This window comes from Homo sapiens, chromosome 11 (genome assembly GCF_000001405.40).
Source record: "Homo sapiens chromosome 11, GRCh38.p14 Primary Assembly".
NCBI lineage: Eukaryota > Metazoa > Chordata > Mammalia > Primates > Hominidae > Homo > Homo sapiens.
Window position 1 is genome coordinate 86,806,714 of NC_000011.10, and position 16,467 is coordinate 86,823,180.

At 40.5% G+C, this 16,467-nt stretch overlaps 1 protein-coding gene and 1 pseudogene across 6 annotated transcripts in view, besides 2 other annotated features; one reads left to right on the forward strand and one right to left on the reverse strand.

Annotated features, from left to right (window-relative positions):
- The window catches only part of PRSS23 (serine protease 23), a 161,840-nt gene that overhangs the window by 15,643 nt on the left and 129,730 nt on the right, over window positions 1-16,467 (forward strand). For 2 of the 6 annotated variants that reach the window (NM_001293180.2, NM_007173.6), the window contains exon 2: window positions 918-4,520. The exons of 3 other annotated variants lie outside the window; for them this stretch is intronic. In NM_001293180.2, coding sequence (NP_001280109.1) covers window positions 931-2,082 — 1,152 coding nt within the window. In that variant the 5' untranslated portion in view covers window positions 918-930 and the 3' untranslated portion in view covers window positions 2,083-4,520. Of the gene's footprint in view, window positions 1-917; window positions 4,521-16,467 lie in introns of those variants that run through there. One more of the 6 variants, NM_001293179.2, reaches the window with a different exon arrangement.
- Window positions 4,826-5,412: an enhancer, noted in NCBI's record as "NANOG hESC enhancer chr11:86522581-86523167 (GRCh37/hg19 assembly coordinates)". NCBI's record gives its function as "activates a minimal SCP1, AML or CMV promoter by ChIP-STARR-seq in primed H9 embryonic stem cells {active_cell/tissue: H9 hESC(primed)}" and the evidence as "EXISTENCE:reporter gene assay evidence [ECO:0000049][PMID:30033119]".
- Window positions 11,814-12,108: a silencer, noted in NCBI's record as "tiled region #1521; HepG2 Repressive non-DNase unmatched - State 12:CtcfO". NCBI's record gives its function as "represses a minimal TATA promoter and a strong SV40 promoter by Sharpr-MPRA in HepG2 cells {active_cell/tissue: HepG2}" and the evidence as "EXISTENCE:reporter gene assay evidence [ECO:0000049][PMID:27701403]".
- Window positions 14,230-15,120, reverse strand: MOB4P2 (MOB4 pseudogene 2; annotated as a pseudogene).

Consider the following 16,467-nt stretch of genomic DNA (forward strand, 5'->3'; position numbering starts at 1 on the left):
GCAACATTCATTCACTTTTCCATTAATACAAGCATCCATTTAACAAATCTTTGTCGAGTGCTAGCACAGGCCCAAATTTAAGAGATTTAGTTGGTAATACAGATATAAACAACTGAAAAAGTAACCAATGGTAACAGTTCATAGTGTTATAGCTGATGCAATATTAGAGCTTTAGATATTGACAAAGATCCTGGTAGTGTACAACATAATCCAAAGGAAGAAGGAATATTTTATTAGAAGCCTAGCCACTCTGGAACTCAATATATATAATAGTAAAGGTTGTTGTAAATTCAAAGCAAAAAACAAAACAAAACAAAAAATCTCATACCCTTTCTCGAGTGCACCATCATTTAAAAACCACAGGAGTGGTGGTAATTGTGACACTGTGGAGCTGTCCTTCTTTGATGTCTCAGTCACTCAGTAAGCCATGTAATTTAAATTGACCCTCTGAGTGACCAAGTTGCTCTGAAAATTTTCCAAGTACATGTTACAATGAGAATGAGAGAAGGAGGAGGGAAAGGCGGGGACATCATGAAGGTAGAAGAGGAGGAGGTTTAGAATCAAGCACAAAGAGGGCTCAAAATTACGTGGAAATTGGGGCTGGTCAGTCAGTTAGCCAGGGGACTAATGACTTTATGCCTGCTACTCTGCAGTCTACCATCATTAGGGACATCTTAAACATAGAAAGGAAGGAACACCCAATTTCACTTCAGGCACCCAGCCACAGGAACTTTCCTAAGGTTGAGCCTTTGCGTTGAAAGTGAGACCGTTATCTAAGGATTCCTCTCCACACCCTGATTCCTGAGGAGTGTTCAAAGACTCAGAAACAATGACAGGCCTGCTGCTGAGCTTTGCTGTCTGCAGTAAATGAACGTTCAGCCCTTGCCCTCCTGACCTGCTTGTCTTTGTTTCTACAGAACAGTGCTCGGCATGGCAGGGATTCCAGGGCTCCTCTTCCTTCTCTTCTTTCTGCTCTGTGCTGTTGGGCAAGTGAGCCCTTACAGTGCCCCCTGGAAACCCACTTGGCCTGCATACCGCCTCCCTGTCGTCTTGCCCCAGTCTACCCTCAATTTAGCCAAGCCAGACTTTGGAGCCGAAGCCAAATTAGAAGTATCTTCTTCATGTGGACCCCAGTGTCATAAGGGAACTCCACTGCCCACTTACGAAGAGGCCAAGCAATATCTGTCTTATGAAACGCTCTATGCCAATGGCAGCCGCACAGAGACGCAGGTGGGCATCTACATCCTCAGCAGTAGTGGAGATGGGGCCCAACACCGAGACTCAGGGTCTTCAGGAAAGTCTCGAAGGAAGCGGCAGATTTATGGCTATGACAGCAGGTTCAGCATTTTTGGGAAGGACTTCCTGCTCAACTACCCTTTCTCAACATCAGTGAAGTTATCCACGGGCTGCACCGGCACCCTGGTGGCAGAGAAGCATGTCCTCACAGCTGCCCACTGCATACACGATGGAAAAACCTATGTGAAAGGAACCCAGAAGCTTCGAGTGGGCTTCCTAAAGCCCAAGTTTAAAGATGGTGGTCGAGGGGCCAACGACTCCACTTCAGCCATGCCCGAGCAGATGAAATTTCAGTGGATCCGGGTGAAACGCACCCATGTGCCCAAGGGTTGGATCAAGGGCAATGCCAATGACATCGGCATGGATTATGATTATGCCCTCCTGGAACTCAAAAAGCCCCACAAGAGAAAATTTATGAAGATTGGGGTGAGCCCTCCTGCTAAGCAGCTGCCAGGGGGCAGAATTCACTTCTCTGGTTATGACAATGACCGACCAGGCAATTTGGTGTATCGCTTCTGTGACGTCAAAGACGAGACCTATGACTTGCTCTACCAGCAATGCGATGCCCAGCCAGGGGCCAGCGGGTCTGGGGTCTATGTGAGGATGTGGAAGAGACAGCAGCAGAAGTGGGAGCGAAAAATTATTGGCATTTTTTCAGGGCACCAGTGGGTGGACATGAATGGTTCCCCACAGGATTTCAACGTGGCTGTCAGAATCACTCCTCTCAAATATGCCCAGATTTGCTATTGGATTAAAGGAAACTACCTGGATTGTAGGGAGGGGTGACACAGTGTTCCCTCCTGGCAGCAATTAAGGGTCTTCATGTTCTTATTTTAGGAGAGGCCAAATTGTTTTTTGTCATTGGCGTGCACACGTGTGTGTGTGTGTGTGTGTGTGTGTAAGGTGTCTTATAATCTTTTACCTATTTCTTACAATTGCAAGATGACTGGCTTTACTATTTGAAAACTGGTTTGTGTATCATATCATATATCATTTAAGCAGTTTGAAGGCATACTTTTGCATAGAAATAAAAAAAATACTGATTTGGGGCAATGAGGAATATTTGACAATTAAGTTAATCTTCACGTTTTTGCAAACTTTGATTTTTATTTCATCTGAACTTGTTTCAAAGATTTATATTAAATATTTGGCATACAAGAGATATGAATTCTTATATGTGTGCATGTGTGTTTTCTTCTGAGATTCATCTTGGTGGTGGGTTTTTTTGTTTTTTTAATTCAGTGCCTGATCTTTAATGCTTCCATAAGGCAGTGTTCCCATTTAGGAACTTTGACAGCATTTGTTAGGCAGAATATTTTGGATTTGGAGGCATTTGCATGGTAGTCTTTGAACAGTAAAATGATGTGTTGACTATACTGATACACATATTAAACTATACCTTATAGTAAACCAGTATCCCAAGCTGCTTTTAGTTCCAAAAATAGTTTCTTTTCCAAAGGTTGTTGCTCTACTTTGTAGGAAGTCTTTGCATATGGCCCTCCCAACTTTAAAGTCATACCAGAGTGGCCAAGAGTGTTTATCCCAACCCTTCCATTTAACAGGATTTCACTCACATTTCTGGAACTAGCTATTTTTCAGAAGACAATAATCAGGGCTTAATTAGAACAGGCTGTATTTCCTCCCAGCAAACAGTTGTGGCCACACTAAAAACAATCATAGCATTTTACCCCTGGATTATAGCACATCTCATGTTTTATCATTTGGATGGAGTAATTTAAAATGAATTAAATTCCAGAGAACAATGGAAGCATTGCCTGGCAGATGTCACAACAGAATAACCACTTGTTTGGAGCCTGGCACAGTCCTCCAGCCTGATCAAAAATTATTCTGCATAGTTTTCAGTGTGCTTTCTGGGAGCTATGTACTTCTTCAATTTGGAAACTTTTCTCTCTCATTTATAGTGAAAATACTTGGAAGTTACTTTAAGAAAACCAGTGTGGCCTTTTTCCCTCTAGCTTTAAAAGGGCCGCTTTTGCTGGAATGCTCTAGGTTATAGATAAACAATTAGGTATAATAGCAAAAATGAAAATTGGAAGAATGCAAAATGGATCAGAATCATGCCTTCCAATAAAGGCCTTTACACATGTTTTATCAATATGATTATCAAATCACAGCATATACAGAAAAGACTTGGACTTATTGTATGTTTTTATTTTATGGCTCTCGGCCTAAGCACTTCTTTCTAAATGTATCGGAGAAAAAATCAAATGGACTACAAGCACGTGTTTGCTGTGCTTGCACCCCAGGTAAACCTGCATTGTAGCAATTTGTAAGGATATTCAGATGGAGCACTGTCACTTAGACATTCTCTGGGGGATTTTCTGCTTGTCTTTCTTGAGCTTTTTGGAAGGATAATTCTGATAAGGCACTCAAGAAACGTACAACCACAGTGCTTTCTTCAAATCATATGAGAAATACTATGCATAGCAAGGAGATGCAGAGCCGCCAGGAAAATTCTGAGTTCCAGCACAATTTTCTTTGGAATCTAACAGGAATCTAGCCTGAGGAAGAAGGGAGGTCTCCATTTCTATGTCTGGTATTTGGGGGTTTTGTTTGTTTTTGCTTTAGCTTGGTGAAAAAAAGTTCACTGAACACCAAGACCAGAATGGATTTTTTTAAAAAAATAGATGTTCCTTTTGTGAAGCACCTTGATTCCTTGATTTTGATTTTTTGCAAAGTTAGACAATGGCACAAAGTCAAAATGAAATCAATGTTTAGTTCACAAGTAGATGTAATTTACTAAAGAATGATACACCCATATGCTATATACAGCTTAACTCACAGAACTGTAAAAGAAAATTATAAAATAATTCAACATGTCCATCTTTTTAGTGATAATAAAAGAAAGCATGGTATTAAACTATCATAGAAGTAGACAGAAAAAGAAAAAAGGACTCATGGCATTATTAATATAATTAGTGCTTTACATGTGTTAGTTATACATATTAGAAGCATATTTGCCTAGTAAGGCTAGTAGAACCACATTTCCCAAAGTGTGCTCCTTAAACACTCATGCCTTATGATTTTCTACCAAAAGTAAAAAGGGTTGTATTAAGTCAGAGGAAGATGCCTCTCCATTTTCCCTCTCTTTATCAGAGGTTCACATGCCTGTCTGCACATTAAAAGCTCTGGGAAGACCTGTTGTAAAGGGACAAGTTGAGGTTGTAAAATCTGCATTTAAATAAACATCTTTGATCACAAAACCCTTGTTTTCTCATATAATGCCTATAAGCAATCTGGTGTTCTACTAAATACATTCTGGGGATCTCTGTAACAGCCTTTTGGTTGAGGTGGTAATGTAGAAAGAATGATGAGTCCGAGTGGGGTCAGGTGTCTGTGCCTTTAGGGTTTAACCAGACCCTATAACCAGGATTTGGAAATCTTCACAGCGTGAAATTAGAAGTAATAAATTTGAAAATTATCTGTCGCTGAGAATCAGAAGTTTGTGGCAGAACTGGGGACACATGTTTTACATAGACTTTACTCCAAATTTTGAATTTTGAAAAGGAGATAGTGTTTTTAAAAGGTGGGAAAATAGCCTTAAAGGGGTAAAGAAATAGGAGCAGAGTTGTATGTGTAATCTTTCTTTTTACTGTTTTTGGACCAAAAAGGGATTGAAATACCAAGGTCATGCTCCCAATTCCCTGTTCTTTGTGTAGCTCAGTCTACCTGCTTGGGGAGATGGGAAGTACCTGGTGATGCCTGGATCATGTATTCAAGGAATCACTCTTTCTCTAACAAACCCCACAGGAGGTCTTTAATGCAGAACTTGTTAAGAATGACTAAGCCTGCCCTGGAATGATGACTCTAGGCTGCTGTCTGCTAACTGAAGGGTAAATGGCAGCCATCCAGTGAGTCCAGAGGAATTCTGACAGTGATCCCCAACACTCACTGAGGGCTTCCTTCTTACTTTGCCTGGGTTCTGCTGCTGTTCATGTCTGCACTTTTTCTTTGTTCTTGTCATGAACCAGCTCAGGTATGCCTTGAAGTTGCCTCTGACCATTGATTTCTATGGATGTTTGATAAGGCAGCCATTTCATTTATCATTCAGAATGGGATTCTTTTGAGAATGCTATGACTAATGAAGCTGGGGCAGCAGGTGTAAGCCAGGTATGTCTTGGCCAACAAGCATGTTTGGTCACTTAATTATTAACCTTTCAAAGCTCTGTATAGCGTGCAGACTGGCAGCCATCCTTGCTAATCTAGGAACAAAGGTGGGGCTGCAGCTCCCTGCGTTTCTCCTCTCTGGGCTTCCATTGTGATTCCTGTGATACCTTCTTTGCCTGGCTCAGCATTCTGAGGGCCTCCAATAGGGGAAGGGCATTTAAAAATCCTTTTGATGGGGTGGGGTCATCGTACATACATGGCAGACATGAGGCCATTTCTGGGCGATCAACAACACATCTGTTTTTAGTCTGGGGTTCCCCCCGGAGGAGGAAATAAACCAGCTTCCAGAACAAGAGTAAACAGGGGTTGGCCGGGCATGGTGGCTCATGTCTGTAATCCTAGCACTTTGGGAGGCTGAGGCAGGTGGATCACTTGAGGTGAGGAGCTCCAGACCAGCCCTGCTAACATGCTGAAACCCCGTCACTACTAAAAATACAAAAATTGGCCGGGCATGGTGGCGCATGCCTGTAATCCCAGCTGCTAGGGAAGCTAAGGCAGGAGAATCGCTTGAAACTAGGAGTCGGAGATTGCAATGAGCCAAAATTATGCCACTGCACTCCAGCCTAGGCAACAGAGTGAGACTCTGTCTCAAAAAAAAAAAAAAAAAGAAAAAGAAAAAGAAAAAAGAAAGGGTAAACAGGATTGAGAGCTGAGATAGCAGCCTGGTATGGGAAGATGATGGCCTTGGAGTTGGGCAGACTGATTCCACAGTTGTCTAGTTCCTTATGGCAAATAAATCCCAATGCATTGTGGTTTAAAATTTAAACCCTCCTATATGATTTAAAGATCCTCCCTCTTCTGGGTTCCAGCTTCTCAGTGGGCTCATTTGAAGCTGAGGAAGAGAGAAAGGAGACAGGCATATTTATCTGACTCATTGCAGTGATGTTCTCTCTTCATTGCTTGCTGCTTCTCAGATAACACCAGCTCTTCTACCCTCCTTAGCCCTTAACTATGGTGATATAACCCTCTGTCTCCTGCGCACCTTTATCTAACAGATAGCTGTCTCAAGTACACAGCCAGCAAGATGCTTCAAGCCCAGTCATCTTGTTTCCTATTTGCATAACCCACAAGAAACTCATAGGCTTGCTATACCTGTGTGTTAGTGGCTTATTGAGAATTTGGGAGGGAATATGTTTGAGCCTCAACAAACTGAAGTGCAAGGGCCCCTGGCAGTATCAAATTTGTTCTGTTTAAGAGACAGATGGGGAAGAGTTCAAAAAGATAGATTCCAGCCAGCTCATATAGAAATTAAGGATTCTGTCAAGGTCTTTTTAATTCATCTTACTTGCTGGGGGATACAGTCAAAGGACTTTAAGTAGGAGCCCTGGTGGGGCCTAATCAGGACCGACTTATCCATGAAGGGACAGTAGGCACAGTGTCTAGGGCCCACAGCAGTTTCAGAGATCACACAGAAATATTTATTTTAAAATCAGAAGAAGAAAGTTAATTTTTAAGCCTAATAAAATGTGTTAATATAATGTTAATATATTTATATTAACAGCCATAAAATATAATTTTTAATATTTTTTAATGGAGAAGGAGACTTATGAAGGCAAAAGTGCTTAGGGCCCACAAAAATCAAAATGCAGCCCTGAAACTCATTCATATTTGACAATATCTCTTTGGATGCTAAATGGAGAATGGATTTTAGGCAGTGGCAATGGGAAAACTAGTAATCCAGGTAAGAAATGGCAGTGACTTTGACTTTGGAAGTAGAGGATATTGAATAGTGGTCATATCTGGAAGAGTATATATTTGAAAGTAGAGCCAACATGAATAGGTGTGGTAAAGGAGGAATCAAGAATGACTGCTTGGCTTGGGGCCTGAGCATCCACAGAGATTCCAGGTGCCATTTGCTGAGATGGGAAAGACTAAAGGAAGAGAATTAGATTCTGCTGTGGAAATGAAAACCGAGAATTCCTGTGTCAGTCATGTTAGGTTTCAACTGTCTAGCGGACACCCAAATGCCAATGTCAAATGAACTATAGGATCTCTGATTGTGAAGCTCAGTAGAAATATCTCAAATGCACTTGTAGATGATATTTAAACCACAGAGAAATAATATCATCTGGGGAGAGAATGAGGCTTGAGAAGAGAAGAGGGCTGAGGACAGAGTCCCAGTCCACCAACATTTAGATGTTGGGTTCAGTAGAAGAGAAGGAGGAAGAGGAGGAGGAGGAGGAGGCAGTAAGGAAGCTGGTAAGAAGCCACCAATAAGGTTAAGGACAACAAGGAAAATGTGGCCTCAAAGAAAGCAAGAGAAAAAAGTTGGAAGCCAGGTTGAGGAAGTGAGAGACAAAGGGTGGGACAAGATCAGATTGTGCTTCAGGTTATGTTTAGAAATGTCCCTCTGGCTATGGTGGGAAAGACGGGGTGGAAGGCAGGAGACCAGAGAGGAGTCTGTCTAGTCCTCCAAGCCTCAGCTGTTTTCATGACAAGCAGAACCTTGCCTTGTGTGTCTCTGTGCACCCACCATGCAAGCATGGGGCACTGTGCACCAGGTATGCTTATCATGCCTGTGAATGAGGGATTGATTAACTGAATCCTCCAGGGACACTTGGGACAGCTCTGCCCACAAGAAGAGCAAGAACCCAGGCATCAATGGGGTGGTGCAGACATGGGCTCAGGGAGGCCCTCTGCCATCCCCTCCTGCCTGGACCAATGTTTTCTGAGAGGCAGAAAGTGCAGGGTGACTCTTCACTGTGGTATTTGTCTATGTGTGTATCAAGTGTGTAAAAATACTGTGCTCTCTTAGTCTTGATTTATCACTGCCCCTTGTCTTCGGGCTATTAAAAGGACTAAGGCCCTGTCTTCCATAAAGAGCAAGAACAGCTTTGAGAAGCGTCAAGTTCCAATCCAGTGAAGAAAGACTGAAGTGTTTGCCTTGGAGAGAATGAGGAGAGTCTCAGGAAATGAAATAAACAGAACAAGGGGCTAGAATCCAAGCAGCAGCCGTGGGAACAGCAGCCAGTTCTTGCCATCCAATGAGATGTCTTCTCAGGATGGCCTTCCCTGGCCATCTTCTCTGAAATTCAATGCCCCTCAGCCCCTTCCTCGGGGAGTTCTTATTGCCCTTCCCTGTTTTATTGTCCTGCTCTGCACTTATCACTAACACTGTTATATTTATGTATTTGTCCTCTGCCACTAGAATGTAATTTCATGAGGACAGAGGTTTTTATCTGTTGTGTCCCCACAATTAGAACAGTGCCTGGCATGTAGGTTCTCAATAAATAATGTTATTCAAATGGCTGATTGAACGAATGATCCCAGATGGTTTATATAACCCAGAACATGATGACTTAGGGTTATGTGAGCTTGGATATTTCTTGGGTCCAAACACATCCCAGAATAAAACTCTTGTGGTGTTTTGTATGTATTCTGTTCTATTCTAGCATGTGTTACATTGCTGTTGTTATTTATGTGTCTGCCTCTTCTACAAGACTATGAGCCTTGCAAGAGCAGGGGCTGAGTTCTGTTCTTCTGTGTCTTCCCTTATCTATCCCATGGTCTAGCACAGGAAATATTTGTGAGAAAGTGAGTGTCTGTCTGTCTGTCATGACTTAGCCTGTCATGACATAGATCCTCTCCCACATCTCACAGGCAACAAGCTAGAGTTCTGTGCTATCCATCACCTCCTCTCCAGCTCCCCTGCCACTGCCCTGATTTCACCTTGTTGTTTCTCCTTTAACTATGACAGCAGATTCCAAACTGGATTCTGAGCCTCCCAGCTCGCCCACACCTGCCCAAGACATGTTCTGAAGCAAAGACCTGATCAGGCCCCTCCCCTATGTTTCCTATTGACTAGATGCTGGTTACTAGAGAAGTTTAGTTTTCTTAGCCATGAATCCATGACCAATCCAATATAGTGATCAGATTTATCCCCCATTGCTTCCCAGAGTCACATAACCTGTCGTCTAGCCAAGTTGTACCAAACACATCCGTGTTTTCAACCTTCTGTCATTGCTCAAGCTCTCCTACCCTCCAGCTAGGTTGCCCTTCCTCCATCTCTTCAATTAGTCAATCATTCAGTTATTCATTCAGCAAATGTCCTCAAGCCCACCTCGGTGCCAGTCACTGTGTTCACGCTGGGGCTGCAGAGATGACTGAGATACATCCCTGTGCTCAGGGTGTTCATGCGTCTTCTCCTTTTGAGGTCACTGTAGTCATGACTCTTGCTCTACCTCCCAGAGTGATGAGGCTCAGTAACTACCCTCTCCACAAAATATCTTGGCCTCAGTACAATGGAATTGCCACTTTGTAAATTGAATGAGTTGAGTGCTTCCCCTACATTTTAATAAGTCTTTGAGTTACCGTCCTGCCTGATTATTACATTTCCTTTCTTGGATTTATTAAAACTTGCTCCACCCCCAGTTCCCTGATGGAAAATGCCATGTTTGGTAAACTAACATAGCCCCCAGCATGACTAATATCCTCTGTGGATAAGGCATTCTGGGACATAAGGACACTGTTTTTTTAAAGTGACAGGTTTTACTACTCCAGGATGATTTCCAGACCAGCTGAACACAGCGTTGGAATAGAAATGCCACCACTTTGTCTTTCTACTTTCACAGAAAAGATGTGTTGGTTGAGTATAACATAATATCAGGAAGAATTCATTCAATTCCTTCATTATATCTTTACCGATCAGCCTCTTTATGCTTTGTTTTGTTCTTCAAGCTGTTTAGTGTCCCAAATTCTCTTCACTTTGTCTGAGGTCTTGAAAATTGTAAAATCCTATGAAGATTCATCTGCAGAAAAAGTTTAACTTGAAAATCTAATTATTTATAAGACCCACTTTTGTGAAAGAATAAAACATGATCATGCTTGAGTCTAAAACTCTGGACATTTATAGTTGCGATCAGATTTATTTCCATTCTATATTTTTTCAAATGGCCTATTTTTGCTTGAAAATATGGTTTTTGAGGGGCAAGAAAGCCTTTTTTTGTGATTTTTTTTATTGCCTTCTAACTGTGGGCTTCTGTTTCCCTCATGCTTTCTATTTCATGTATAGTATATTTTGGATCATGTTTTTCCTGACTCTGGAACTTCCTATAACTTTTTATATGGTGTTCCTTTTAGATACTGTTTTAAAAACTCTTTCTTTTGAAATGTGTCAATCTGTCCAGAGAATTAAGTTAATGATGTGGCTATTTTTAAACTCTTTAGATAGCTATGGTTGAAAAGACAAAAAACAAAGTGAGCAATTCTGTGACTGCAGATAGAACTTTTCTAAATGGCTGGCTGGCATTTTTGAGACAAAACTCTATACTTTTATTGAAATACCTCTATTTCTGGCTCATGGATTGTCACCGTATTCTAGAAGTAAGACAAAGAGCCTTGTCTGGTGGACCTGAACACCAATTAGAGTTTCTTTTCAAGAGTATCACTATTCAGCTCTCCTGTTTGCCACTGGCCAGTTGACTTTTTATAGCCAGTGAAAATCCATCCAAGAATCCTGCAGTTTCTTCATGAATTTGTTCTTGTAATGAATTTACGTTGTGTTCAGGCAAGTATCAGATCATTCATTTATGAAACCAACAAGCATGTATTGAGTACCTGTAATGTGCCAGACACTTTTATGAATGATTTACATATATTAATTAATTCACTTCCCACTACAAACCTATGAAGTAGGCATTGATTTTGTATCCATGTCAGAGAGGGGCTAATTGAAGCAAGGTAACTTGCCAAAAACACACAGCTAGAAATGGGATTCATATCTTAGCAGTCTGCCTTGGGAGTTCATGCTCTTATTCTACTAATAGCAAGGTGCCATAAGACTACCGTGAGTGGAGCAACTAACCATGCCTCCAGATTGGGAGTCAGGAGCCTCAGGGAAGGCAAATTCAGAACAAGAGTTGTTTGATCCTTGATGAAGAGGCTTAATCGTTGATTTGATCCTTGTTAGCAACTGATTAGCACATACCAAATTACCTGCAGAGAAGATACACCAGAAAAAAATATGTGCACATATCTGCAAAGCTGTATTACATACCTAAAAACTTTGTATCATCAGTACAAGTATAAAACAAATCATGTGTGATTTGATTCATTTATACATGCTAACCAAATATTTTCAGATTTCCTTTATGCTGTGCCACATCATATGTATCATTAATTGAAATCTATTTTGAATGGCCAACATTCAGAAGTTTCTCGAGTGCCTGGGGTGGGAATCTAAATTTTTAAGACACACTATTGTTTCAACCATTGTTTTTCCTTATAACATGATTCTGATCAATTTGTATTTAGTAAGTGTTTCCGACCATTTAGAAAGACCTTTCCTTTCTAAATCAACACGTAACTTGAAAAAATAAATCAAAATTTTGAAATATCACCTTGTTCTGTAGATTCAGACTAAACGATCTCAGATTTCTTCATGTGTTGGAAAATGTACTTAAAAAAAATCTTTCCCCGAGGCATCTTCTTTGCCAACTGGACTGACTTTTGCTCATTCTTGGATTGCCCCCTAGTGGTTTATTTAACTTATGACTATTTCCCAGATGCTCATCGGCAACTCGTGGTTTCTTTGAATTTGTTTTTAGTTTGATCTTTTCCACACCTTCTCCCATTTGCAGAGAGGGGCTTCCAAAGACAGTGTCTTTGAATGAGGGTGAGCAACGTGCAAAGTGGCACAAACGCTTAGTGTTAATCAATACATGCCATTAATGATGGTGGTGAAATCCTTCTTTCAAGTTTGTTCTCTTTTTTTCTTTGTGCTGTTTTTAACTTTGCCAACTCCTTACTTTCTTCCCTCTGTTAACATCCTACTGGAGTGGTGCCAGGTAATCTGGTGGCACAGGATGACTTACAGGCAATGCTGTGTCTTGAAAATGCCAATTAGGAATGCTGAATGCTGCTGGGCGGGAGTCCCATGCTCTCACCCATATAACAAGTCAGCACTCCATAGGCCTCAGTCAGACCCAGACTTCTTGGCTCCTTTTGGGTAGCTAAGGCTATGACTCGCTGGCCTAGACACTTAAGCATCATCCAAATAGCGAGAAAAACCTTTGAGTTTCTGTAGAAAGCCAGCGAGAGACCCAGACAGCATCACAGACCTGACACTCTGCAGAACTCTGGGTCCAGGCCATCTGCACCAATTAGACCAGAACCAAGAAACGCAGTGCAAGATGCATTATTAATTCAAAACTTTTTTCAATAAGAAAAAAGCCAATTATTGGCTCCATTTTTTTTTAGAGAGAGAACACCTACACTGCTATATATAATTTATTAACTTAGTTTAGTCTCTCAATATTTAGCAAGTTTGTTTAAAAATTACCATTCCCATTGGTTTATAGTGACATGAATATAAACCCATAATTTCAAAGTCAGCATTCCTTTCACTGTGAACATAAGGCTTCTTAAGAGATAGTGGGGGTTGGGGAACAGTAATGACTGTGGCTGGTGGGCACTGTTCAAAGCCAAAAAGACTGGCAGGTTTGGAAAGGCATACACTGTGTATAGACACTCTCTCAGTATACTACTGTTCCCCACACTTTTGCTGTACATTCTTGTCTCAAAATATGGTATAAATTATTCCCTTAAATTTGAAAAAACAATTAAGATGAATACATTTTCATCTTCATTTCACAATAACTCTTTTAAATATAAAAAGTTCCTCATGTTTGTTAAATCTGTTCAAAAGTTGCATTTAAGTACTTTCTTCACAACATGTACAATGTTTTCATCCTTAGTGCCTCATTACAATCAGTTTGGCAATAAGACCTCCAGTGCTTTATCAAAAATGGCATTCAATAGATTATAAGATTGATAAATCTGCATTTGAATCAGTCTTACCACAATGAATTATAACAAAGTCCAAAAAATGTATAACTATTCATCAACACCCTTGGAACCTATGAATTATTGCAAATAATCTCCCACGTGCATGTAATTCAAACATAAACTTTGTGGGGAGGGGGTGTAAAATAAATACTACAGTATTTCTTCAATTTTATTTAATGCTGCCTAGCTGGTTAAATGAAAGATTAATTACTAACAGGAAGAGTCAAAATTTTAAGGACTGTTTTCTAAGAAGGACAATTTTGCAAAACAAAGATAAGCAAGAGCCTATGCAAATACATTTTCTTGTAGTATAATGTAATTGCTAATATGAGGTATAATCTGTAAGCAATTAATACAAATATAAATAAGTATAAGCCACCACTAACTCACAGTCTCATGAAAAGCTTCTCAGCTAAAGTAGTTTGAGGATAAGGTTAAGGGAAATGAGGAGTGGACAGGGCAGGTTTCCAGTGGGAACATCATTTATGTGCCTTATCATTATCATCATCCTGTATGTACCAGTCCATTGTTGCAGAAAGGTAAATCCTTTCCAAGTATGTTATACTTTATGTAGCACAGTAAAATTATTTAAGTATTACTAACGCTTTATTTGCGTTTGTATTTAGATATACACATAATTATATATGCATATCAAAAACTATAAACAGAATTTTAAAACACTTTATCTCATTTGAGGAAAGTTAACAGGTAAGACAAATCTATGTACTATAGAATTTTTGAGGATATCTAAACTCAGGGTGAAACAAAGAAAAACATTTCTACCTCTTTAGTAAAGGGCTTGTGTGAAACCTCAAGCTCTCGCTCAATTTTTTTTATAGATGGGTATGTTTGATGAGGATTGTGATCCAATGATTGTTTAGCAGCAATTTTACCCAACTGTAAATTCTTTTATTAACAGGCATTATAAACAGATAGTACTAATCTTATTCTAAAACCATGAGTGCCACACTGGTGAATATACAGCTTATGAATAACTTAAAAAGTATTTCCCATTTTAAAAGGCAAACCCAGCATACAAAAACTTATACTAAATGAAGAAGCTATAATATGGATACATGATTGATGTGTCTAAAATGATATATACAGTACATAATTAATGTTAATTATGTGATCTGTACATTTTTCCATGATTCCCTTCATGCTTCACTTTCCCCAGAAACTGAAACCTGTACTTCCTCTTCTAAAATTGGTACAATGAGGTTATCCCTGGACATCAAATTATATTTCATCTAATTCATCACAAATTTAGTAATCCGATGACACAAAAATGTTTCCTTTTCATATTCATCAAATATCTACCAATGATGAAAATAAACATGTGAAAATATTCTGTAACTCCTAAGGTATAGTGATCCTAGTTTTGCTACGGATTACTTCTTTATGCTAACCCTGCTGGGAAAACATTGATTGCTCTTCAGAAGACATGCAGCACCATCAAGTATGTGTCTGGTATAGGCTATAGCAGGACACTCTTTCAGAGCTTTATGAGCTGCACAAAGAAAAATCCATTGTTCAGTTGCTGTCATTTGAGTGCAAGTATCTGGATGGCATTCACTCTGAAGTTTGACAACAAGTCCGTTTAGCTCAAGACAGAATTCCCTTAAATGTTCATACTTCCATAACTTTCATCTTGGCCTTCAGCTGGTTCAAGAATTTTGTCAATATTGGAGCAATCTGCTCTTATGTTCTGTTGAATATACTGTTGAACAGCTAGTGTACTGTCTATTTCTTCAAAGTGTTCGTCAGGCCAATTATAAAAATCCTGTGCCCAGCCCGTTCCGCCTCAGCACGCTGCCCCCTCCGCCATGACCATAGTGTCAGCGTCTGGGCCTATTGGCTCGATTTAATAAGTAAGAGTACCAATAATTTTTTAGAAGTAAAATGGATGTATTAAAGGATTTTAAAGAAAAAGCACTTGCTTTTATCTGAATTTTAAAAGGAGAATTGACATTACAGATGAAATAAAGATGAATACAGAAGAGAAGATCCTACTTTAAATGCAAAATAATATCTATAAAATGGGACTAGTAATTTCTTCCTAGAGAGCTTGTGATAACTAGAGATAATGAATATAAAGTGACCAGTGAATTATCAAGCACATAATAGGGGTTCATTTATTTATTCGTTCATTTGGCAAATATTTATTGAGCACCTACTATGCAAGGCATAGTAGGTAAAACTGAAAAACGTGTCTTTGTGAAGTTTACGTGGTAATTTTCCATCCCATATGCCAAAGAGATAACAGGGGAGGAATGACCACCATCTTTTAGAGACTTGTAGTATCATTTAGGAGATGAAATGTTATGTTTTATGTGGCTGTAGAAAGCAAAACTAGAGCCAGGCATGGTGGCTCACGCCTGTAATACCAACACTTTGGGAGGCTGAGGCGGGAGAATGGCTTGAGCTCAGGAGTTTGAGACCAGCCTGGGCCACATAGTGAGACCTCGTCTCAACACAACATCGAAAAATTAGCTGGGTGCAGTGAAGTGTGCCTATAGTCCCAGCTAATCTGGAGGCTGAGGTGGGAGGATAGCTTGAGCCTGGGAGGTCGAGACTGCAGTGAGCTGTGATCACGCCACTGCACTTCAGCCTGGGCGACAAGAGTGTGAACCTGACTAAAAAAAAAAAAAAAAAAAATGCAGAACTAGGACCAGTGGATGATCTTTCAAGGGTGGTGGTTTTCATAATGAAAGGAAAACCCTGTTTACAACCAGGACTGTCCAGGAATGGGATGGGGCCACCTCTGGGAGCAGAGAGACATGGGCTGGAGGTGATTCTGTTAGTGGAAGTATTTTGTAGAGAATTTGAGACCTTGTATCAAGGATCTTTGCAGCGTGGGCAAGGAGGGAATACAAAATCGGTGTTTCCTTCTGCCTCTTAATTCCAAGATGCTGGAACTGGGGTGGGAAGCCAAGCCATTGACCAGAACCAGGGCTACAACTCGGGGGTGAGTGTGGGAGTTTAAATGCAGGATCCACACTGGTTACAGCTGAACTGGAGCCACAGATTCCTGTCACTTTCTGCCTCCAGGGATCAAGTACCATGGGTCTCGACCTGACCAGCCTGAAGGTTTGGGAGGCCCCGTCAGGGGATGGGGGCAAGTTACTTTCCCTAAAAGAATGAAGAGGCTACATCTGGTGACCAGACACAAACATGGAGGCAGAGGGTAATAAGGAT